The sequence below is a fragment of the Homo sapiens genome, chromosome X (assembly GCF_000001405.40).
Source record: "Homo sapiens chromosome X, GRCh38.p14 Primary Assembly".
Classification (NCBI taxonomy): Eukaryota; Metazoa; Chordata; class Mammalia; order Primates; family Hominidae; genus Homo; species Homo sapiens.
In genome coordinates, this window is record NC_000023.11 from 51,270,985 (window position 1) to 51,298,208 (window position 27,224).

Sequence of the window (27,224 nt, forward strand, 5' to 3'; positions counted from 1 at the left end):
CAACAAATACTTCTGGAACACCCACATGCAAAGGAATAAAATTAGACTTCTACTCCACACTATATTTTAAAAACTCAAATGGATCAAAGACTTAAATATAAGAGGTAAAACTGTAAAACTCTTAGAAGAAAACAGGTTGAAATCTTCATGACCTTGAATTAAACCATAATTTCTTAGATATGACACCAAAAGCACAAGTAACAAAAGAAAAAGATAATTAAATTGAAAGTCATCAAAATTGAAAATGTTTTGGCTTTAAAGGACACTATTAAGAAAGTGAAAAGATAACTTACAAAATATGAAAATATTTGCAAGTTATATATCCAATAATGATCTAGTATCCAGAATAAAGATCCCTTACAACTAAATAATAAAAATACAAATAACCCAATTAAAAATGGGCAAAACATCTGAATAGGCAGGTTTCCAACAAAGTTATACAAATGTCAAATAAGCACATGGAGAGATGCTATTTTTAATAATTATGCAAATGAAAATCAAAATAACAAAAAGTACTATTTCACATCCAGTAAGAGGGCTATAATTTAAAAGTCAGACAGTAACAAACGTTGGTAAGGAGGTCAAGAAATTAGAACCCTCATACATTCCTGGTGGGAATGAAAACTGCTGCAGGCACTTCGGAAAAACAGCTTAGCTGTTCCTCAAAAGTTAAACATAGAGTTGCCATATGACCCAGCAATTCCACTCCTAGATTTATACTCAAGAAAACTGAAGGCGTATGTCCACATGAAAACTTGTACATGAATGTTTATAGCAGCCTTATTCATGATAGTCAACTGGTGAAACAACCTAAATGTCCATTAGCTGATGAAAGGATAAACAAAATGTGTTATCTCTGTACTCTTGTGGATGCTCTGAAGCACCAGATGGATCTTCACTCAAAATTTGGTTTAGATGTTGTGAGTGGTGACACCACACATGCATCAGGAGAATATAGAATGATTTATTATTCACATAATTTAACTTTCTTGGGGAAAGCAGAGTGACTATCAAGAAGGTTTGAAAATGACATGAGAGAGCAGGGATAAAAGACTGGCTTGGGGTTTCTATGCTGGTTAGAGGGTAGGGACTGGGTGAGGATTCCAGGGCATGGTTTGAACTTCTTGCCATCACCAAAGAGAAGAAGGCACAGACTCTTGTCAGCAAGCCCAGATGTGTGTGGAGCAGGAGGGGAAAAAGAAGTGTGGTTAAAGCTGTCGGCAGTCAAACATCCAAAAATGGAGTCAGAATTAAAAAGTAAACTTAATAGGTAGTAATTATTAAGAGCCAGTAATTAAGCTATTCTCCTTCAGCTCCAAATCTACCCTTCTGTTCTCTGCTTTGAGATGCTGGGCCTCAGATTCAGAAAACCGTTTTTCTGTTGATGCCAATGGTTCCTTGTTAAGCTTTGTCAATAGGGAGTGTTGGAGAGAGACTGGAAGCTGAAGGAAGACAGGACCTGCTCCTTCTTGACTGCTTCCTGTTGCTGTCAGTAAAACCCAGAGTTGTCAGGCCACTCATTTCGGGGACAGCAACTGATTTCAGTTTGCAGTTTTTCTAACACTCATTGAATCAGCTTATTGCACCATCAGAGACACTAGCACCAGCCAGTCAGTACCCCCTTCTCAGAGGTCTCAGTTGCAAATCTGTGGGGCTCCTCCTGTAAGCCTCTAAGTTTTATTTATTCTAACCTCCCCATTTTGTTCTTCCAGTCCCAGAGGTAATAGCAGATTCTTGTAATTGTTACCTCCATGATACTTTAGTATTCTCTTTATGCATTCTTAATTCATCCATATCAATTTAACAATTCTTTATATTAAATGCTCTCTTTTTACAAAAATGACGTCAGACTTTTATTAAATTTTATTTTGTTTCCCCTTCTAACTTGACTTGTGACTGAAATGTGCCATTTTGTATTGAATTGAACTTGAATTTAAATAAGCCATTATGACACTCTATGAGGACTGCAGTCTGAGGCTGGTAAGGGAGGTGAACGTTTCATTGAATTCCATGCTCAACAGGCCAGCACTGTGTGTTTTGAAAAGTAATTTTAATGCCTTGGTTACTACCAGTGATTTCTGTACCTCTGAAGGGGATAATAAGTGTCTTGGTGAAACTTTGCATTGTGGCTTTCTTGTGGACAGAAATATATGTAACAATTATTTGTATTTTGGGTATCTTGAGATAAACAATTATTGGGAATTGCTGTTGCTGTCATTAGCCAGACCAGCTGTCGAGACTACTGGCAATGACTCAAGCATCTGTAGAAATGTACAGATAGGGTTCAGCCAATTTTGTTGACCACTAGGTCTCATCTTTTATCAGGGGTGCCACAGTAAAGGGATAAAAAGCAGCAACACTCCACTGACCTCCGTCACTTGCAATGGTGTTAATGCAATCCATAAAATGTATGAAATCTTCTTGCTATATGCTCGGTTAATGGCAACCAGGTATCCAAATGGGCCAGAAAAAGGGTGACCTCCTCAAGCACCATGGCATCTGGCAAAGGACTAAGGACAGGGAAGGCTATCACTGCCTGCAGGTAGGACATGCCAGAGATTTCAGGTTTGACTCCATTCTGTAATAAGGAAATCTTGGTGGAATAATGAGTTTTCAGGATATTGCTTTCACAATCCAACAAATAATAGGCAGCTAAGTACAGGAAGTCACTGGTTCAGCACCCGAGAGAGCCTCTATTTTCAGGAGACACTTGTATGCTGCCAGCAACTGCCACTCTGGGATATAGCATGGGGCTTAGGAGGGTAGTTTCTTGCGTTAGTCACCCATGGGCAACTTATGGCCATCATGGGTGGTCCTGAGACTCCAAGACACATGAGAGGAGGTTGCTTAAAGTCTCTACAGTGAAGGAGTTCCTGGGGGGCACTAACAACAGTGCCTATAGTATTGTGATTTTTGCAGATTCTAGAGCCTTTTGTTATAGGGCGCTCTGATGGTTAATTTTATGTGGCAGTTTGACTAGGCTATAGTGCTCAGTTATTTGGTCAAACACTAGTCTAGAAGCTGCTGTGAATTTATTTGTAGATGTAATTAGCATTTACAATCAGCTGACTTTATGTGAACCAGATTATCCTTCATAATGTGAATGGGCTTCATCCAATCAGTAGAAGCCCTTAAGAGCAACACCTGAGGGTTTCCAAAAAATAAGCAGTTCTACCTCAAAATTGCAACATGAAAACTTGCCTGAGTTTCCAGCCCGCTGCCCTGCCCTGCAGATTTGGGGTTTGCCAGCCTCGTATTCATGTGAGCCAATTTCTTAAAACAGATTTACCTCTCTCTTCCTCATTCTCACACTGTGTGTATATGTATATGTGTGTGTGTATGTGTATGAAGATGCATGTATATATATGCATATATGTATATTTGTGTATGTATACGTAAACATGTATATATATGTGTGTATATACATCTATTTTTCTATTTTGTATTTATAGCTATAAAATTTTATTTTAATTATAATTATATATTTTCTATTTCATGTTACACACACACACACACACACACACACACACACACACACACACGCAAATTGTTTTCGATGGCAAAGCTGTTTGGATATCCCATGGATAGGGTAGGATATCCATTGTGTGTTTTTGGAGGTGAAGGCAAATGGGCTGAGACGCTGTTGAAATAGGCACTGAACAGAACATATTAGTCAAATCTACAACAACAAAATATTAACCAGTTGCTGATTGGATGGAGTCAATAATCTTAAACATATTAGTTACGGGGGCCTTAATCAGTGGGACTACAGCATTAAAGAGTGATGATAATTCAGGGTGAAGTGCCATTCATTCTTTCCAAGTTTAATAACAGGCCAGATCGGATTGTTAAGTGAAGAAACAGTGGAGATAATCACCTATTCTATAAATAGGTCTTGCAGTTGTTTATGCAGCAATAGATAACCAGGACGATGCAGAAGTAAAACAAATTAGTGTGTAGACTTAACCATATACCAAAACATAATATATTTATGAATGTGTTAGTAGAATTACAAGATGTTTATCAATCGTAAACTTAACTTTCACTTAAAATTAAGTCTTGGCTACAGTTTTTTCTCATTAAATGTACAGCTACCTCATTTAAAAAAATAGATCTTGTACAACAGGTCTCAATCCTTGAAGGCCCTATTTTAACATACATTGGGATGAATTGACTAGAGGGAAGGTTCATGGGAACCAATATTTTAAGCTGAATTGTAAGTGCCAAAGACTTGACTTAATTTTAATTTATTACTCTTTAGGTCAGAGCATCCATGCCCACTGTGAAGTATTTTAGGTAATGGGTGCTATTACACATGGTGTATTAGGGTACTCTAGAGAGACAAAACTAATATATATATATTATATAGGTAATGGGTGCTATTACACATGGTGTATTAGGGTACTCTAGAGAGACAAATTACCCATTACCTAAAATACTTCATAGTGGGCATGGGCGCTCTGACCTAAAACATATATATCTTATATATAGGATATATATTATTAATATATATTAATTAATATAATTAATAATACATATTAATAATATATATCCTATTAGTTCTGTTCCTCTAGAACCCATATATAAATATATATAAATAAATATATATATAAAATATATATAAATAAATATATATATAAAATATATATAAATAAATATATATATAAAATATATATAAATAAATATATATATAAAATATATATAAATATATATATAAAATATATATAAATATATATATAAAATATATATAAATATATATATAAAATATATATAAATATATATATAAAATATATATAAATAAATATATATAAAATATATATAAATAAATACTATATATAAAATATATATATAAAGGGGAGTTTATTAAGTAGAAATCACATGATCACAAGGTCCCACAATAGGTGGTCTGCAAGCTGAGGAGCAAGGAAGCCAGTCTGAATCCCAAAGCTGAATAACTTAGAGTCTGATGTTTGAGGGCAGGAAGCATCCAGCACAGGAGAAAGATGTAGGCTGGGAGGCTAAGCCAGTCTAGTCTTTTCACATTTTTCTGCCTGCTTTATATTTTAGTCAAGCTGGCAGCTGATTAGATGGTGCCCACCCAGATTAAGGGTGGGTTTGCCTTTCCCAGTCCACTGACTCAAATGTTAATCTCCTTTGGCAACACCCTCACAGACACACCCAGGATCAATACTTTGCATCCTTCAATCCAGTCAAGTTGTCACTCAGTATTAACCATTACATATGGGTAATTAAGCAAGGTAACAGTTACAATGGGTAAGATGAGGCATTGCTATCTGTCTTTTATTTTATGTTCAGTCACTTCCCTAAGGCTATGAGATATACCTTGTTTAAATTTCGAGAGATCCCCAAGCATAGTAGCAGCCATTTGGGCCACAGTATTGATGACACAAAGATTTGCTAATTGGTGCAAATAAGCAGTTGTTAAATTTATTCAGAACCTATGTTGTAAAGTGTATAAGTCAAATCAGCCCCCTTTTATCTTTTTGTTTTATAAATTAGGTAAATGTATTCCCAATTGTGTCAAATTATGGCCATTTCAGGTTTTTTTTTCTTTTGCCTCCCCCTATGTCCAGTTTTCTTTTACTTTTCTCTTTCTCTCTCTCTCTCTCTCTTCCCTGCCCCCGACCCCCCGCCCCCCGTGGGTGATTATCGGATATCCTTTGGAAGAAGGAGAGTTCTCTCTACCCTATTTATCTTTATGAATTACTTCCTCTAGAGAACCTCAAATCAGTATTATTAGGGTTAGCCTCCCCCACAGCAATGGTGGTTTTATAGGGTTTAAGGACCCTGGACTTCAGTCAGATTTGAATTAACCCCTTGGTATGCCATACAGTTGCCATGGGTGTTTCTCCCTATAACCCTCAAGATCAGTATCATTCTTATGACAGAGGCATAGGCAGTAGAAGCAAAGGCATTTTGAAGGATCCTAGTGAGCCACCTGCTTTTAGGAGTGTGGACCTCCACATGTCACATATGACTGGTTTTTCCCCTCTATTGGCTGCTTTTTCACTTTCTAATGATTTCTCATTCATAAGCCATCATTCAATAGCTCAATATATCACAGAGGATATAAGTCTTTCCCCTGAGCACTCTATACAATGGGGGGTAATGCTGGTTGAGACATACAATTAATCTGTCACAGGGCCCAGGTGGTTCCCTCAGCCTAGAGTCATTAAGAGCTTATGCTGAAATTAAAACACGTTATTCATTCTAAGACACAGTTAACCTGAGCCAAGGCACATGACACAGGGCCACATTAAGGAAGATACCAGTCCCATACTCCTGTGAATTATCTAAACTCAGACTTAGGTATATTAAATCTATAAAGGAGGCTTCAGTACAACTCAGCAAATGTAGCACAAAGAAGCTCAGCTCAAAGATTGTGCTAGCCTGCAAGTAGTGGCTCTTAAGTGCCTGCTGGTTTTCAGGCAGAAGACCCAGTTAGCAAGTCAAAGAAAGACAATAAAGATCCCCAAGATGGTGGTCATAATCTAGACATCCTCCTTACTGCATCACTTGTGGACCCTTGCAGAGGTAGATAGATCTTCACCCAAAATTTGGTCTGCAGAAACTACATACCAACCAAGAGGATATTTCATACCAACAGGGTATGAAAAAGTTTACTATGCATATGAGGCTTGCTTGAGACAGCAGTGTGGCTCCCAAGCAGGTCTGAAAATGGCTTGAGAATGCAGGGAAGGAAACTGGTGTTTAGAGGATAGGGTCAAGGTGAGGGTTCCTATGTATAGTTTGAACTTCCCTCCAGTATCACAGAAGGGAGCACCCAGGCTTTCCTATCAACTTTCCCAGATTTGAGGCAGAAGGGAAAAGAGGAGGGTTTATGCTTTAAAGCTGAAACATCAAAAATGGGCAGTCTTTATTACCATACAATGGAACATGATTGTGCCATAAAAAGGAATGAAGTACTCCCCTTAATGCATGCTACACTATAGATGGCCCTTTTAAACAATATGCTAAATAAAAGAAGTCAAACTCAAAGGGACATATAATGTACAATTCCATTTATATAAAATGTCTAGAATAAGCAAATTCATAGAGGCAGAAAGTAGAACAATAGTTGTCAAGGTCTGGGGATTGGAATGGGGAGTGACTCCTAACGGGCATAGAGTATCTTTCCAGGGTGATAAAAATGTTTTGGAATTAAACAATGGTGATGTTTGAACAACATTGTGAAAATACTGAAATGCACTGAATTGTACCCTTTAGCAGAGTCAATATTTTGGTGTGTGAATTATATCTCAATAAAACAATCATATTAGATTTCTATACAACTATAGGTTAAATTTGCATAAAAACATAGCAAAAGAAGTTGAATTTTTGTATACAGTAATCTTCTTGAGAGCAAGGACTCTAATTTATTTCTGAAACCAGAGTGTATGACACATAGTGGGCATTTGATATATTCTTTGAATGTGTGAGTGAGGCATAAACTCATTAATTTAGCCAGTCTTTATTGAAAACACAGTATATTCTACCACTATGATAAAACATTGTTAGCTTACAAATTCAATCTCATTTAAAAATAAGAGAAATAAAAAATAAGCATTTCCTGCCCATGGCAATAAATTCAGAACATAATAAAATATATTAGGAAGAGAAAAAACCTAAAGTGCCACTGATCAGAGATGACCACTGCCAACATTTTGTAGCGTACCCTTCATACTTTTCTCTATGTATGACACACATATATATAAACACAATCATAAATATCTTTTTTAAATGTGTAGAAATGCCATATACTTTGTAAACTGTTATTTTAGCTTGATAATAGGAAGTACATATAATTTTACTTCAAATAATATACCTACATCATCATCATTAAAACTTTTCATTGAAAAACGGCATCTATGTTTAAAAGTGTATAAATCATAAGAATGAAGTTAAATAAACTCTCATAAATTGAACAAACCTGTATAATCATTGCCCATATCAAGAAACAGTACTTTACCATCACTCCTGAACCACCTCCTCATGCCCCTTACCAGTTACTATTCCCTCAAGAGTAGTCACTATCCTGACTTTCAAAACTACAAATTACATTTGTTTTAGAAAGTTAAATAGGAGCCGGGGCAGGATGGCCCGGCATCTGCTCCATGGAGCTCACAGCCCAGCCTAGGCTGGCAACTCCAGTCTGCCCCAGTTTCCAGTTCTGTCCATTCCCCTTGCAGCTCAGCATGGATGAAGCTTTGAAATCCAGCTCTCCCTCTCCCTCTCCCGTCTCCCCACGGTCTCCCCCGTCTCCCCACAGTCTCCCTCTCCCTCTCCCGTCTCCCCACGGTCTCCCTCTCCCTCTGTTTCCACGGTCTCCCTCTCATGCCGAGCCGAAGCTGGACTGTACTGCTGCCATCTCGGCTCACTGCAACCTCCCTGCCTGATTCTCCTGCCTCAGCCTGCCTAGTGCCTGCGATTGCAGGCACGCGCTGACACGCCTGACTGGTTTTCGTATTTTTTTTGGTGGAGACGGGGTTTCGCTGTGTTGGCCTGGCCGGTCTCCAGCTCCTGACCGCGAGTGATCCGCCAGCCTTGGCCTCCCGAGGTGCTGGGATTGCAGACGGAGTCTCCTTCACTCAGTGCTCAATGGTGCCCTGGCTGGAGTGCAGTGGCATGATCTCGGCTCGCTACAACCTCCACCTCCCAGCCGCCTTCCTTGGCCTCCCAAAGTGCCGAGATTGCATCCTCTGCCCGGCCGCCACCCTGTCTGGAAAGTGAGGAGCGTCTCTGCCTGGCCGCCCATCGTCTGGGATGTGAGGAGCCCCTCTGACTGGCTGCCCAGTCTGGGAAGTGAGGAGCGTCTCCGTCCGGCCGCCATCCCATCTAGGAAGTGAGGAGCGCCTCTTCCCGGCCGCCATCCCATCTAGGAAGTGAAGAGTCGGGCTGCCCATCGTCTGAGATGTGGGGAGTGCCTCTGCCCTGCCGCCCCGTCTGGGATGTGAGGAGCGCCTCTGCCCGGCCGCGACCCCGTCTGGGAGGTGAGGAGCGTCTCTGCCTGGCCACCCCGTCTGAGAAGTGAGGAGACCCTCTGCCTGGCAACCGCCCCGTCTGAGAAGTGAGGAGCCCCTCTGCCCAGCAGCCGCCCCGTCTGAGAAGTGAGGAGCCTCTCCGCCCGACAGCCACCCCGTCTGGGAAGTGAGGAGCGTCTCCGCCCGGCAGCCACCCCGTCCGGGAGGGAGGTGGGGGGGTCAGCCCCCGCCCAGCCAGCCGCCCCATCCGGGAGGGAGGTGGGGGGGTCACCCCCCTGCCCGGCCAGCCGCCCCGTCTGGGAGGGAGGTGGGGGGGTCAGCCCCCCGCCCGGCCAGCCACCCCGTCCGGGAGGTGAGGGGCGCCTCTGCCCAGCAGCCCCTACTGGGAAGTGAGGAGCCCCTCTGCCCGGCCAGCCGCCCCGTCCGGGAGGGAGGTAGGGGGGTCAGCCCCCCGCCCGGCCAGCCACCCCGTCTGGGAGGTGTGCCCAACAGCTCATTGAGAACGGGCCAGGATGACAATCGCGGCTTTGTGGAATAGAAACGGGGGAAAGGTGGGGAAAAGATTGAGAAATCGGATGGTTGCCGTGTCTGTGTAGAAAGAAGTAGACATGGGAGACTTTTCATTTTGTTCTATACTAAGAAAAATTCTTCTGCCTTGGGATCCTGTTGATCTGTGACCTTACCCCCAACCCTGTGCTCTCTGAAACATGTGCTGTGTCCACTCAGGGTTAAATGGATTAAGGGCGGTGCAAGATGTGCTTTGTTAAACAGATGCTTGAAGGCAGCATGCTCGTTAAGAGTCGTCACCACTCCCTAATCTCAAGTACCCAGGGACACAAACACTGCGGAAGGCCGCAGGGTCCTCTGCCTAGGAAAACCAGAGACCTTTGTTCACTTGTTTATCTGCTCACCTTCCCTCCACTATTGTCCTATGACCCTGCCAAATCCCCCTCTGTGAGAAACACCCAAGAATGATCAATAAAAAGTAAATAAATAAATAAATAAATAAATAAAAAAGTTAAATACACTGAATTTGGCTAAGACAGAGGAACCCCTTTCTCTTATAACTAAAAGACCCTGGACATAACAAAAAAAAACAAGTCTGGAAGACTCAGAATAGTGGAAAGATGATAAACAGCACAGGGAGTTTAGAACTCAAAGAACAACACAGAAATGAATTCCCTGGGTTTCCTTATTTCCTTACATATGTCCAGTACAGAGTGCTGCAGAAGCCTGCAACCTAGAACTGCCAACAGATACAAATAAAGCTCCAAGAAAAGACTGTTTTCCCTAGGCAAAGGACCAGAAACGATGGCCTAATAATATCAAACTTTCTGGCAATTCCCACTCTACTCCAGGTAAACGCCAATGGAAAAACCATACCCCACCAAACCACCACCTCTGCCTGTGGTTTCAGTGAGACTGAGAAATAAGTTGATCTTCTATTTCATCCCACCTCCATCCCCACAGAATCAGATGTCAGTGTTCTAATTCCCCACTCAGCTGTGTTAACAGGGCCAAAAAGGGGCTTATCTTTTATTATCTGCCCAGTGGAAGCAGTTAGTGATGATCTGATTTCCCTACTTGGACAGTGTTAGTGCGACACAGTGAAAACCTTATTTTGTATGTCCCGCTGGGAAGAAGCAGATGATGCTCCTATCTTCCTGCCCATGTAGTGTAGTGAGGTAGAGTGGGTAGCTGATCTTCTGTTCCCTATCCGGTAGAAAAAAAGTGGTACTCTAATTCTCCTGTCAGGGAGGAGTCAGCAGGGTCCAGTAGCAAGCTGAACCTCCACCTTCACCCAACAGCAATGTGACTTAACAAGGTAGTGAAAAGTGGAGCTAGTCATCGCTAGGTTTCACAATTTCTCCCTTACAGTGTCAGTGGGTAGAAATTCCTCAGCAGACAGAGGAGTTTCTACCCCTACGTGCATCAATGAGACTTAATAAGACAGTACAAGTCAGAGCTGGTAAGCATTCCCTTTCACTCCATCCCTGATATCAGTGAGGCCCAGGAAGTAGGTGAATCACCAAACTCACAACTCATTTGTACCCTCATTTAGTCTCATAATGAGACTCATAATGAGACTCATTATGAGACTAAATTAGGTGGCACAAATCACAGCTAGTTGTCACCTCTGTCCACCCTCCCACGTATAGAAGGTCATCCAGTGACAGAAGATAGCACAGGTGTGTGCCTCCTACTCATGCAGAAGTCACCAGCATGGATTGGTTAGGAGCCTTGGCAGCAGCAGAAGCCGGAATCACACCAGAATATCATTTCGAGGACTCATAAAACTTTTCATTACAATGAAAGCCCGGAAAAGTAGGCCAGAACTTACATGCTAAACCAAAACAAGGTGACTCCATTACAATAGAAGATTTAGGTAAGATCATTAGTCCCCTAACATAGTAATAAAAATGTCCATGATTCAATTTTTAAAAATCACTTGTCACATTAAGAACCAGTAAATTCACAATATGAATGAGAAAAGACAATAAACAGAAGCCAATACCAACATAAATCATAAGTTGGAATTATCTGAAAAAGATTTTAAGGCAGACATTGTATAGATTCTCTTTTAAAATGAAAAAAAAAAATCCCAGCAAATGAAAGTCATAAAAAAGAACCAGAAGAAATTGTAGAATTGAAAATTATAACAATTGAAGCTAAAGAAAAACTTTCTAGATGGACTTAATAGTAAAGTAGAGATGAGAGCAAATAGAATCAATAAACTTGAGGACAAATCAATAGAATTTACTCAATTTGAACAATGAAAATAAAATGGACTGAGAAAAATGAAGAGTTTCATGGGCCTGTGGGACAATAACACAAGAGAGAACTTTTGTATCATACAAGTTCTGGAAAGAGAGTAGAGAGATTGTGGGAGGGAATATTAAAGAAAGTAATGAATGAAAACATCTCAAATTTTGTGAAAGATACAAACCTATGAATTCAAGAAACTGAGTGAACAACCAATAGATAAATGAAAGGAAATCTATGCCAGAGAACATTATAATTAAACTTCTGAAATTTAAACACAAAGAAAAAAATCTTCAAAGCTGCCAGAGAGAAAATGACATATTACCTACATGTCATTGCCCATGATGCATAACTGTGGGGTAATATACCAATTTGAATAACAGATGAATTTTCATTGGAAAACATGGAGGCTAGAAGGAAGTGCTACGTTTTTCAAGTGCTAAAAGAAATGAGCTCTTAATCATGAATTCTGTATCTGGTGAAACAATCCCAACACAAAGGAAAGATAAATGGTTTAGATGATGTATATCCCAATTACCCTGACTTGATCATTACACATTGTAAACAGGCATCAAAGTATCACATGTACCTCAAAATATGTACAACTAATATATATAAATTTTTTAAAAGGTAAAACAAAAAGAATAAAAGAGAAATGAAGACAACCTCAGATGACAGAAAACCATAAGCATTTGTTGGTAGCAGACCTATCCTTAAAAACTGGCTAAAGGAAATTATTCAAAAAGATAGGAAATGATAAAAAAAAAAAAAGAATAGTGGAGGATGAGGAAGAAAGAAGGAATGATAAAAAGAGCACAAATATGAGTATATACAACAGTATATCCTTTACTTATTACTTTAGCTGATAATATGATTGAAACAAAAATTATAACACCATCTGGTGCTCAAGACAATGGTATTTTAAAGTGAGTAAAGCATAAATGGAAGTGAGGCTTACACATCCCACCCAAAGTGGTCAAACTTTGATACTACTTGGCTGGGATAAGTCACATGTACATTTTTTTTTAAGACAGAGTCTCACTCTGTTGCCCAGGCTGCAGTGCAGTGGCGGGATCTCAGCTTACTGCAACCTCTGCCTCCCGAGTTCAAGCGATTCTCCTGCCTCAGCCTCCCAAGTAGCTGGGATTATAGGCATGTGCCACCAAACCCGGCTAATTTTTGTATCTTTAGTAGAGATTGGGTTTCACCATGTTGGCCAGGCTGCTGTCGAACTCCTGACCTTAAGTGATCCATCCACCTAGGCCTCTCAAAGTGCTGGGATTAGAGGCATGAGCCACTGCGCCTGGCCAAGTCACATGTACATTTTAATGCCAACGGCGACCACTAGGAAAACTATACCATGGGATATGCTCAAAACACTAAGAATAAATCAAGAAGAAATTCTAAAAACTGTTCAAATTACCCACACAAAGGTAAAAAGGAAATTTCAAAGAACAAAGAACAAGAACTAGAATAAACAAATGGAAAATAAATAATGTGACAGACTTGGCTATACTTGCTTATAAGTTTTTTGAGATCTTTAGGAATTCCATCTACTACATCTAAGGTATCAAATTTGTTGGCACAGAGTTATTTACAGTATCTTTTTAATATCATTTTAGTGACCATGGACTCAGTAGTTATAACCCCTCTTTCATTTCTGGTATTGGCAATTTGTTTTTCTACTTTCTTGGTTAGATAGAGGCTTATCACTTTTATTTGCATTTTTAAAAAAACAGGTTTTGGTGTCTTTTTTTCTTATTATCTTTCTGTTTTCAATTTCATTGATTTCTGCTCCATTTTTAATTATTTCTTCAATTCTACTTGCTTTAGGCTCAAATTATTCATTTTATTTTATTTTATTAACTTTTCTAAGGTAAAAGCCTAGATTTTGAATGTAGATATTTATTCTTTCCTGAAACACAGATTTCATGTTATAATTTCCCTCTACTACTTTCACAGCACCCCACAAACTATAAAAAAGTTGTATTTTTATTATACTGTATATTTTAGAAGGGCTCTAGGTTTACAGAAAAATTGAGAAGATAGCGGAATTTCCATGCACCTTACACACACTTTCCCTTATCTTTAAAATCCTTTATTGGCATGTTTCATTTGTCACAGTTAATGAACCAATATAAATACATTATGATTAATTAAGTCCATAGTTTATTTATATTTCCTTATTTTTTAACCTAATGTTCTTTTTTTGTTCTAGAATACCACATTATTTTTGGTTGTCATGTCTTTTTAGGTTCCTCTTGTCTGTGGTAATTTCTCAGACTTTGCTTGTTTTGATAGCCTTCACAGTTTCGAGGAGTAATGGTCAGTTATTTTGTAAGATTCCTTATGATTAGAGTTTGATGATGATCTCATGATAATACCAGGTTGTGGGTAACTGAGAGAAAGCCATAAAGGTAAAGTGGCATGTTAATCACATCATATCGATGATACATACTATTCATATGATTTATGATTATTGATGTTGGCCTTGATGACCTTGCTGAGATAGTATTTGTCAGGTTTCTCCACTGTAAAACTCCCCCATTTCTATATCGTACTCTTTGAAGGAAGTGACAATGTGCATCCCATACTTCACACTTAAGAACTGGGGAGTTATGTTCCTTCTCTTTATCTACATAAATTATTTGGAAATCTTCTACATGGGAGATTTTTCCCTTCTCTTCATTCATTCAATCATTTATTTATATCAGTATAGACTCCTGGGTATTTACTTTACACATTGCATTATAATCTAATGTTACTTTATTTTGTTGTTCAAATTGTTATAGCTTTTGTCATTGGGAGCTCTTTCAGTTGGTTCCTATGCTTCTTTAACAAACCCCCATCTATGTGGTAGACTTTTTTGTTTGTTGTTTTGCTTGTATAATAGCATTCCCTTATTTTCTGGTTCCACAAAATGTTCCATGCTCATCATATATATATACCGCACCAGTCCTAGAATCATCCATTTCTCAAAGGAGCCCTGATTCCTTTTATTGGAAAATAGTATTAGAAAACAAGAGCTGGGTGCTAGGTGTGCTCTTTTCTACTTTAGTGTCATTTCTTTAAGGCCTCAGCAAACAGAAAAAAATATATGTGTGGCTACTAACCCACGTATATACCAATATCTATAAATATTTTATATAAAATTATCTGTATCTATATTAGGCTAAACATAAGTTCATATTGATATCTCCAACTCTAACCCATTGTTACACGAATGACTCTAGCCTCCTCCCCTTTCTTATCTATAAATTTACATTCCTACGGTCAGGAAACCTGGTTTCTACCTCCATACATGTATAACAGTATTAGCATGATTAACCCATACCTCATAGGAGATACAACTTTATCAAATACAGTGGTTATGAGTAGTTACTTTTGCCTTTATTCTTATAGACTTCACTTATTTCCAGAGTTATTTAAGTAAGCATCTTCCCCCTCCACTTCCATGGATTTTTTTTTCAAGCACTTGTAATACATTTACATTATCTTGTCACAGTCTGCATTCCTTTGCGGAACTTTCTGACCTAAGAAATTTTGTTTTAAATTTACATACCTTAAGGTTTATTCTTTGTGAAGTAAAGTTATATGAGTTTTTATAAATACATAATGTTATATACCCACCATTGTAGTATTATACAGAATAAATTCACTGCCCTAAAAATCCTCTTTGCTCCATCTACTCATTACTCCCTCTCATCTCCAAACCCCTGGCACCCACTGATCATTTTACTGTCTCTATAGTTTTGCCTCTATCTTATGTCATATAATTGGAATCATTCAATATGTAGCCTTTTTAGACTGACTTCTTTCACTTAGCAGCATGCATATAAGGTACTTCTATGTCTTTTAATGATTTGATATCTCATTCTTATCACTCAACAACATTCTGTTGTATGGATGTACCACAGTTTCTTTAACCATTCACCGATTGAAGAACATCCTGGTTGCTTCCAGTTGTTGGCATTTATAAGCAAAGCTACAATAAACATTTGTTTGTAGATTTTTATTTGAACATGAGTTTTCAAGTTAATAGGTTAAAATACCTAAAAGAGTGGTTTCTGGGACTTATAGTAAGACTATGTCTAGCTGTGTAAGAAACTGTCAAACTCTCTTTCAAAGTGTCTGTACCATTTTGCATTCCCACTGCAATGAATGAGACTGTTTTTTCTCCACATCCCTGCCAGCATATTATATTGTCAGGTTTTTTTGTGTACGTGTTTTAGCCATTCTAATAAGCATGTAACAGTATTTCATTATGGTTTTAATTTGCAATTATCTGATGACAAATTATATTGAGCATATTTTCATATGCTTATTTACTGACTGCATATCTTCTAGCCTCTGATTTAACTTCATAAGTGAACTTCATTTGGCAAGTCTCTGAAAACTTAACAAATAAAAAATGATTGATTTTTTTAACATAGGTCCTCAAACAGTTTTCTTTTTTGGTTGGAAGAACTTCTGAATAAATGTCTGAGAATTAAGTTATATTAATTTACAGGGGAAAGACATGCTATTCTGGCTTACATTGACATAATCATGGATATAAACTCAAAGATGCAAGTAATTGTCACAGGCAAGCACTCTCACATTAACAGGAGAGCTCTCCTGTTCTTATCCTACATCTCAGGCCATGACTTCTCTGTCCATTTCTCTAGTCTACTTCCCCTGTGTCTCTCCTTTGGACTCCCACTGTAGTCTGTACAGATTTATATTTAAGAATCTGCAGTTCCTATTTTGTTCTTTTTCACTTATGTATCTGCCTCTGACACAGTATTGTGAAATTCACAACTGTAATAGATCATGCTTCATTGATCTTTTTATATCCAGCATACAGAACACTTCTGGAAATAAGGTGGGCATAACTGAGCCTTTGCTACCATAAAAATTAATATTTTATAGAGACCACAGATAGGAAAAACATACACTTCCAATAGGAACTTCATATAATGCATGCTATTTTTGTAGGCACCATTTGTGTAGCTTTTGAGCATCAACTTCTGAGCAAACTATTAAGCAACTGTGAAGTTTTCTGGGAAAATCTCACTGATGAAAGTTTTGTATAATAGCCCACATGGTAACTGGCAAACTTCTCATCAAAAAGCCTGACTTAGGCAGAATTTTCAAAAGCATCTCAATCATTAATGTAATATTTTAGAATTTTCATGATACACATAAATCCATTTTGATGTTTCTTAACAATTTATATTTTATCATCCCCCCACCCCCAGAGAACTATTTCATTTTATTCTAATTTCATTATATTATCTCATCTTTAACTCAAACTCACTTAAAAGGAAATGTTATAACACTATTTAAAAGGTGAAAAAACCCCATTATGTGTCATGGCAAATAGTTCATAAACTTAATATAATAAAATATAAAAAGTATAAAATTCTAAAAATTAAAAACTGAAATAGAAATGATCAGTATAATTTATTTCCTTTTACTAAGCACTCTGTAAGTGCTGTGTCATTTAATCTTCATAATTGCCTTTTTGAACTTTGTGTACCACTCAATTCATCTTGGTGACTGACTACCACTTGCCTGAGTGAAACTCTGGAAAGCACAAACAAACAAGCAAACAAAAAAACAGCCTCTTTTGAAATGATACAGAGTTGAGCTTTAATACTAGTATCTACAATCTACCACTATCCAACCTTATAAAATATAAAAATCTTCACTACTCTTCATTGCATGGATGAAATAAACATATAAAGCAACAAGCACAGTGCCTAACAAAAAGCAAACACTCAAAAATACCAGTTATTATTATTGGCATTATTGTTCAATAGATGTACATAACATTAATGTTCTTAGATTTGAGCGTTAGACAACATTTCCCACATATTTTCTTGATGTTTGAATACGTATTTTCCTGGAAATAAGTCTTAGTCTCAAAAATGTTAAGTGGCTCAATTTCTTACGGCTTCTACATTCTAATTTCCCACTTCAATCCCCAGCCTATATCCCATTCGGCCACCAGCCAGTTTCCCTGACTGAACAAGCTCTCTCACACCTCTGTATCCATTCTCTCCTTCATACACACACATGCTAGAGAAGTCTCTGGTTGTTAATAAAGCTTTACATTCTTCACCATCTTACGTTTTCTGTGTTCTTTTATTTTCTGTTGCTATACACTAGAATAAAATATTGATGAGAGTAAGCTATCTGTCTGTTGTGCTCCCTGCTATATTCCCAGAGGCTGAAATTGATCAATAAATATTTGTTGAATTAATTACCTGACCTTTGTACTAGTCTTGGATACACAGTTGGATGCATATGGGGCTTCCACTTAAACTCTTGGAAACATGGAAATTGGACAAGTTAATCTTTTGGGGAAGGCCCATCATCCAGAGAGAAGAGTACAACCAACACTTCAGGCCAGGATGGAATTCTACCTCTCTTTCTCTCTACTTTTTTTTATTTTTTTGATTTTTTAAATTTTATTATTATTATTATATTTTAAGTTTTAGGGTACATGTGCACAATGTGAAGGTTAGTTACATATGTATACATGTCCATGCTTATGGGTAGGAAGAATCAATATCGTGAAAATGGCCATACTGCCCAAGGTAGTTTATAGATTCAATGCCATCCCCATCAAGCTACCAATGACTTTCTTCACAGAATTGGAAAAAACTACTTTAAAGTTCATATGGAACCAAAAAAGAGCCCGCATAGCCAAGTCAATCCTAAGCCAAAAGAACGAAGCTGGAGGCATCATGCTACCTGACTTCAAACTATACTACAAGGCTACAGTAACCAAAACAGCATGGTACTGGTACCTAAACAGAGATATAGATCAATGGAAGAGAACAGAGCCCTCAGAAATAACGCCGCATATCTACAACTATCTGATCTTTGACAAACCTGAGAAAAACAAGCAATGGGGAAAGGATTCCCTATTTAATAAATGGTGCTGGAAAAACTGGCTAGCCATATGTAGAAAGCTGAAACTGGATCCCTTCCTTACACCTTATACAAAAATCAATTCAAGATGGATTAAAGACTTAAACGTTAGACCTAAAACCATAAAAACCCTAGAAGAAAACCTAGGCATTACCATTCAGGACATAGGCACGGGCAAGGACTTCATGTCTAAAACACTAAAAGCAATGGCAACAAAAGCCAACATTGACAAATGGGATCTAATTCAACTAAAGAGCTTCTGCACAGCAAAAGAAACTACCATCAGAGTGAATAGGCAACCTACAAAATGGGAGAAAATTTTTGCAACCTACTCATCTGACAAAGGGCTAATATCCAGAATCTACAATGAACTCAAACAAATTTACAAGAAAAAAACAAACAACCCCATCAAAAAGTGGGTGAAGGACATGAACAGACACTTCTCAAAAGAAGACATTTATGCAGCCAAAAAACACATGAAAAAATGCTCACCATCACTGACCATCAGAGAAATGCAAATCAAAACCACAATGAGATACCATCTCACACCAGTTAGAATGGCAATCATTAAAAAGTCAGGAAACAACAGGTGCTGGAGAGGATGTGGAGAAATAGGAACACTTTTACACTGTTTGTGGGACTCTAAACTAGTTCAACCCTTGTGGAAGTCAGTGTGGTGATTCCTCAGGGATCTAGAACTTGAAATACCATTTGACCCAGCCATCCCATTACTGGGTATATACCCAAAGGATTATAAATCATGCTGCTATAAAGACACATGCACACGTATGTTTACTGCGGCACTATTCACAATAGCAAAGACCTGGAACCAACCCAAATGTCCAACAGTGATAGACTGGATTAAGAAAATGTGGCACATATACACCATGGAATACTATGCAGCCATAAACAAGGAGGAGTTCATGTCCTTTGCAGGGACATGGATGAAGCTGGAAACCATCATTCTCAGCAAACTAACACAAGAACAGAAAACCAAACACCGCTTGTTCTCACTCATAAGTGGGAGTTGAACAATGAGAACACATGGACACAGGGAGGAGAACATCACACAACGGGGCCTGTCAGGGGGTGGGGGACTAGGGGAGGGATAGCATTAGGAGAAATACCTAATGTAGATGACAGGTTGATGGGTGCAGCAAACTACCATGGCACATGTATACCTATATAACAAACCTCCACATTGTGTACATGTACCCCAGAATTTAAAGTATAATAATAAAAAAGAAATTCCCCTACACTTTACAAGTAAAAACTGATTGATTTAAAAATGAATTAACTGGAGAGATTAATGAATGAATATAAGACTGTTAATCCAATTATTTAAGTGTTTGGGTGAAAAGCATAAACATGCAGGAATATGAAATCAAGCCTCTGGACCCACAAACAGCGGCATTTTCAAGCACAGACATGCAAGTTCATAATCACAAGGATTCAGTCCTCCAGATGTGAATCCTGCTCCTAATTCCTCTACTCTTTCTCCCTCAAATTTTTTTGTCTCCTCTCCTTCTTTTCTCTCTTTCTACTGCAAATATGCCCTGTAAAGCCTACGAATGAGAATTTACATTCTTCTGTTTGTTTGTTTTCCTAGGAGACGGTTAAGAACAAGAACCAGTTTTTACTTGGTCTTTACATATGCTCTATCAGTCAGTTACACTGCATGAAACATACAGGCATTGCAGAGGGTTTACTAAATGAATGCATTTCATAATGAAACAGTGATAGCGAAAACACCCACTTTCAAACTGGAGGCAGTACACTAGTTGCTTTCCACATAGGTATCCTATGTGTGGCTTTTGTGTATCAGGAGCCATGCAAAGTCTTCTAGAAGCTGGTAGATGTCACAGGGATAGAAAGCAGATTCATTTGTCCATGGGCCTCTACACAGTGCATAGCATGGTTTTCAGCACACAAAAAGGGGTAAATCAACATTACTTAACTTAGTCATATATATATACCTTTTCAAATCTGCCACCCCCAAATATAATGTAAACTAAATATTTCACAGGAAAGGAAAAATACCATTTGTCACGAGTCAAACTCTAAAATAGACGGATGATGTAACAGCAGTATGGAATTTTAAAATGTACATTAGTGGCTTTCAGAGACACAGGGATTTCTTTACAAGACTGTGTAAAATGTGGGGACAATGACCAATGTAGGCAATGGCCTGTGATGCATGCCTCTTAAATCCCAGCTCTGCACTTCCCAGCTGTGTGAACAGGGGCAAGTAGTCTATCCTTCTGAACTTAAATTTCCTCATCTGTGAAACTGGAAGAAAGAAACTTATGTAACAGGGAATTTATGAAAACTATCAGTAAGATATGTCAAGCACCTGATACATGGTGGGCCCTGAAACAGCAATTATTATGTATTCTGATATTTTAGTTAAGAGAAACCGCCTTCAGCCAATATAATTTCTTTATTAGAATTTTAGTAATTCCACACAATAAGAAGTTCATCGGATGCAAAAATCACCCTTCTGAGATGTAGGCTGGTAGTAAAAGCCATTTGATCAAAGCTAAAGTGAAAGAATCTCAGAGTGTCATGGGTGTTCCCTCAGAGCATATCTATTGTAGTTTAGGAAAACTACTAACACAACCACTGATTTTCAAACTTGCCTCAAAATAAATAACATGGAAAAAGATGGAAAAAGGGAAAGGGAAACCTCATATTTTTCCCATCTTGTACTCCCAGAGAATGGCTGGCCCAGAGCCCACAGTCAGAAACACTCGTTGATGGTGGAAATCTCTCCAGAACTGGCTGAGTTCATTGGCAGTATGAGATGTTTTAGTGTGGAACAGGGAATGCAGCCATTTCCTGATAACAATTTTGATACATGTATATGCCTTGCTATCTTCATCTCATGAATTTGTGGAGTTTTAGAACAGCTTGGTGACCCTGGAAAGCCTGTTCTAGCCTGTGGGTACACAGTGTCATTGATAAGTAAACTATCTTCCTCGTGGGCTGGCCGGATGTCTTTGTGGAGGGGAAGGCATCCTTCCAAGACTGGAATTCTCTCATGCAGGGACTAGCTTGCATAAAAGACCCTCCTCCAGATCCAGCCTCATCAAGACCTTGAAGCAGCTGTAAGCACCAATCATTTTATCCCTTCACAAGGACTTGAAACAAACTCCATTCCTCTGCCTCTGCAGAAATTAGTGTTGAATTTTCCAGCATTTGGCCAAAGGAGCAGGAGAACAACCTTTAAGATGAGGAGCTTCTGAAAGTGTTAGGAGATGGGAGGAAAATGTTGCAGAGATGTGTGCATGAGAAACGGGGAGGGGAGCAGAGAGAACTCCAGGGGCAAGTTAAGCAGTGGGGGTCTGCCTATACTGCCGTCTTTGTGGGGTGTTCTCATCAATAAGCCTGGAAGATTCCACTCATTCAGCTACTTCCTAGTGGTCAGATACTGGGCAAGTTACATAATGCCTTAGATCTCAATCTTCTCCCTTGTGAAAATGGGAATGACAACGTTGCATTTGAAGGGTTTTCATTAGGGTTAAATGAAAAAGGTACATGAAGTGCCTAGTGTAGCCCATCCATAATTATGTGTCCTATTACACAACAATAGCGTCCACTTTATTTTCAACTCTTTCATAACATCATTCTGCTTGCATTGTGTTTAATTATATAATCGTGTTTCTTTCTGAAAGCCACTATCATATGAAAATAAAATACAATATGTAAATCACAGTACATGTCTACCCAGATAAAACCAGAGAGCTGAAAACACCACCTCAAGTCATGCTGTGTAGTAGGAACTGTGCTACTCTGTAAAGAGGTCATGGAAAATGAATGAGACTTCTGCCCTTAGGTATCTCACGGCTGCCCAGCTGTGTTTCTGTGGCATCTGGTACCTATGTGGTGCCGACACAAATGGCAACTACTGGAATAGCTGCAGACTACAAAGAGAATGTTTTCCCTATAAGTGTCATTTTCAAAAGATTAATTAATTCAATGACTATTCAGTAGTGCCCTTCTGGTTGTATCAGAGAGTGTGGATGGTGGGTTCACAAAGACCAACAAAACATGGCCCTTTCCCTCACAAGTCTCCCATCTAGCACAGGACACAAACACATTCATTACATCCACAGGTATTTTCTGAGTGACTCCAGTGTATGCTCAGCAGAGATCTGGGCTGCTTGGGATATACCAGTGAGCAAGAGACAAAGATCCCTACCATCAGGAGCTAATACTCTAGCAGGAGCCATCATTGGCTAGGAAAGAGAACAGCAATAATCATCACTAAGTAATTACATAGTCTGTTAGATGCAAAATACTATAACAGAAAGGAAACTTGGGCCAAGGAAAAGAGGATCTGGGGTATCAGCAACAGGGTGGCAAGGAAGCGTGGGTTTAGCAGTCCATCATAAGGTGGCCTGGGTAGGCCTCATCTAGAAGGTGAGAAGTGATCAAGGCCTCAAGGTGAGTGAGCAAGTTATCATTGTAGATATGGGAAAGGAGCATTCCAAGCAGAGGGAATGGCTAGAGCAAAGGCCTTGAGGAGGGAAGGAGCCTGCCTGACATAACCCAGAAGCTGCAGAGTCCAGGTCTGCTAGAGATGTGTGGCTCATGGGGACTGGTAGGGACAAAGTCAAAGAGGAAATGGGCCAGATGTTGTAGGGCCTTGTAGGTTTTGGAAGCATTTAACATTTTACTCTGATGCATAAACACAGGGCCACTAGAAAGGGTTTGGTTTCTGAATTAGAAGTCTCTGCAAGGTAGGGTAAAGGGAAAAGGAAGGTGACATCAGTGAGACAGGATCAGGCAGTGAGCAAAGAAGTGGGAGAAATCAAGGCATGCTCCATCATTATGAGAGAGGCAGCACTCGCCTGGACTTGACAATTCCACGGATCACTGGGGCCACATCCATGACCTGTGCACATCTATACCATTACTCACAAAATCACAAAAGTAGCAGTTCTGTGTGCATTCTGTCATTTGTCCAGGAAACAAACAAACAAAACAATGAGGGAGGTTATTTTGTATTCCATTCATTTTGTATTTAAGACCTTTCTAGGGAACTAGCTAGTATAGACCCAAAATGAAACCGCCTTTGTGTTTGAACAAGAGTGTCCTAGGTCCATGAAGGAAGAAAACATTAGGGAACGTACGAAGGTTGATGTGAAAGACACAACTTACCCTGCCTTCCCCGGTCCTAGTTTCATTTGTATTTTATTTAATATCGCTATTAAATAGTTAACAGGTAAAATAACAACTATCCTTTGTGATCCATGTAGATCCTGTCATCATTTCTCATTCAATCAATATGTTTTAAATCCCTGCTGGACACCAGATCCCAGGCACTGTGTTGACTCAGAGGGCAACAGACATGTTTCAGGCTGGTTCCCAGTCCTCAAATTTCTCACAAGCTTGCGGAAAAATCATTTCAAAGCTCCTTAATTAGAGCTAAAACAGAATTAAAGTCAAGGAAGCCTGGAAAAACAGAGGGTGGTACCTCAATCCCAATATAAAGGAAGGGCCAGCACATGGTCAGGAAAGCTTTCTTGGGAGAGGTGAGGTTCTGAGTAGGTAGTGTTATTATCCTTCTTTACATCTGAGAAATATTAAGGTCAAAGATATTAACTTGCCTAAGGCTGCATAGCTACTGAGAGAGCAGGATTTAAATTTTAGTTCATGTGCATTTCAAAACATCATTTCTTTTCTCATGGACTACTACCAAAATCACTTCCCCTGGCTCTGCTTCCCTTAAGTATTCTGAAGGTTTCTCAGGTACGTTGCAGTCCCTCTCCTGATAGCTGGGTTTTACCCAGCTGTGATTACCATCAAGCTCTTAGAAGGTCTTTAACATTCCCAACCCCAGGTAACAGCTGTTTCTGCAGAGCTCCTCTCTTAGGACTGTACCCCAATTAAAACACAGTTAGAAATGTCACCTTCCATGGCTTTCTCACTAAGTAAAGCACCCAACTTCCCTGAGGATAATTCTACTGTTCCTGTAAATTTTCCATCTGCCTGCCCCTTCCTACCTCTGAAAAAAAAGGCAGAAATATGTATCCTAGACTTGTTGGTTTCAGGGTAGATCCTCTAAGCTTTTATGCTAGGGATTCTGGAAATGTACATGGAAGCTCCATTCTCTTGAGTGCCTGGATCTTCCAGGTAGAAAAAAACTAGAAAGGAGGAAGACCATACCAAAAGGAATGACATGCACTGTCTATGTCAGCAACTCTTAACATAAGGGAAACATGCCATAGTAAACACAAGATGATTACATCTGGACTCAGACAGACCAGGGTGTGGATCCCAGCTCCACCACTTCCTGGCTTGCTCACTGTAACCCATCTCAGCCTGTTAATCTGTTAAAAGGGGATTTTGATACTTTTCATGTTTTTTGGTACAAAAATATTAAGTGCACAAAGAAAGCAGACCATCCATAAATCACCATCATGGCCTAGTATGATGACAGCATAGAATGTCTTCTTTTCTGTATCACTTCATTGCATTTTATCTTGCAGGGGAAATGAAAGCTTCAAATCATGAAGTAACATTTGGAGGTGACACAACTATTATTTGCTGGGAGTGAGAGAGGTACTCACATGTTCTTTTCACATTTTGTTCAGAAGAAAAACATGATGGAAAGTACCTTTCTCTGGAGTCAGTGAATCTTAGCTACTGAATACCTTATCCAAAAGGTCAATGCTGAATGTCATCAACGAAGGCCATAACAAACAACAGCTGTGGATAAGAAGAATCCTTCTGACAAGATATGGTGATGTTCACTGGCCATCAGAGAAATGCAAATCAAAACCACAATGAGATACCATCTCACACCAGTTATAATGGCGATCATTAAAAAGTCAGGAAACAACAGGTGCTAGAGAGGATGTGGAGAAATAGGAACACTTTTACACTGTTGGTGGGACTGTAAACTAGTTCAACCATTGTGGAAGACAGTGTGGTGATTCCTCAAGGATCTAGAAATAGAAATACCATTTGACCCAGCGATTCCATTACTGGGTATATACCCAAAGGATTATAAATCATGCTGCTATAAAGACACATGCATACGTATGTTTATTGCGGCACTATTCACAATAGCAAAGACTTGGAACCAACCCAAATGTCCATCAGTGATAGACTGGATTAAGAAAATGTGGCACATATACACCATGGAATACTATGCAGCCATAAAAAAGGATGAGTTCATGTTCTTTGTAGGGACATGGATGAAGCTGGAACCATCATTCTGAGTAAACTATCACAAGGACAGTAAACCAAACACCGCATGTTCTCACTCATAGGTGGGAATTGAACAATGAGAACATTTGGACACAGGGTGGGGAAGATCACACACCGGGGCCTGTCATGGGGTGGGGGGAGGAGGGGGGGGAGGGATAGCATTAGGAGAAATACCTAATGTAAATGATGAGTTAATGGGTGCAGCCCACCAACATGACACATGTATACATATGTAACAAAACTGCACATTGTGCACATGTACCCTAGAACTTAAAGTATAATAAAAAAAATAGATGAATGGATAAAGAAAATGTGGTACCTATACACAATGGAGTACTATTTGGCTATAAAAAAGCATGAGATCCTGTCATTTGTAACTGCATGGATGGGACTGGAGGTCATTATGTTAAGTGAAATAAGCCAGGCACAGAAAGACAAACATCACATATTCTCACTTACGTGTGGGACCTAAAAATAAAAATAACTGAACTCATGGAGTTAGAGAATACAAGAATGGTTACCAGAGGGTGAGAAGGGTAGTGAGGTGTGGTGGGGAGGTGGGTATGGTTAATGGGCACAAAAAATATAGTTAGAAAGAATGAATAAGATCTAATATTTGATAGAACAACATAGGGACTATAATCAAAACAATTTAATTGTACATTTAAAAATAACTAAAAGAGTATTATTGGATTGTTTGAAACATAAAGGATAAATGCTTGAGGGATTGCATGCCTGTATCAAAACATCTCATGTAGCACATAAATATATACACCTACTATGTACCCACAAAAATTTAAAAAAATAAAAAATTTTAAAAAGAAAAAAAAAAGATACAGTGATGTTGTGGGCATGCAGGCTATGGAGACAGGAAGCCTTGAACTCAAATACAAACTCCACTCTGAGTCCTCATTTTCTCTTCTATAAAATGGACTTATTAACTGCCTCCCTCTCTAAGAGTTAATGGGATAACAGTTAAATAGGACACAGGGCATAACACAGAGCCTCTCACAGGGACTGTACTCAACAAATGTTAGATGTCTTAACCTCATCCCTTTCTTTCTGACTCCAGGAAAAGTTAAATGTCAACATCTTTAAGTAGACGTTACGTTTCCACAAGGAAGAATCTTTTCTCTCTCTCTCTTTGGTTGGATTTTGATGGATGGCTGTTAATAGTTGGAGCAGCCATTTTTTAATGCATATCAAAACACCCCGAAGTTTTGTACTTTAAGCAACAATGAATTATTTTGTTCACCATTGTTCAAGTCAATTCCAGCTTAGGAGGAGGCAGCGCACGATGATCAAATGATGCCTCAACCA

At 39.0% G+C, this 27,224-nt stretch overlaps 1 long non-coding RNA gene across 1 annotated transcript in view, besides 1 other annotated feature; it reads right to left on the bottom strand.

The window, feature by feature from the left end:
- Positions 1-27,224, bottom strand: part of LOC105373204 (uncharacterized) — a 175,604-nt gene that overhangs the window by 50,002 nt on the left and 98,378 nt on the right. The gene's annotated exons all lie outside the window — the stretch shown is intronic.
- Positions 8,388-8,939: an enhancer, noted in NCBI's record as "H3K27ac hESC enhancer chrX:51022229-51022780 (GRCh37/hg19 assembly coordinates)". NCBI's record gives its function as "activates a minimal SCP1, AML or CMV promoter by ChIP-STARR-seq in naive H9 embryonic stem cells {active_cell/tissue: H9 hESC(naive)}" and the evidence as "EXISTENCE:reporter gene assay evidence [ECO:0000049][PMID:30033119]".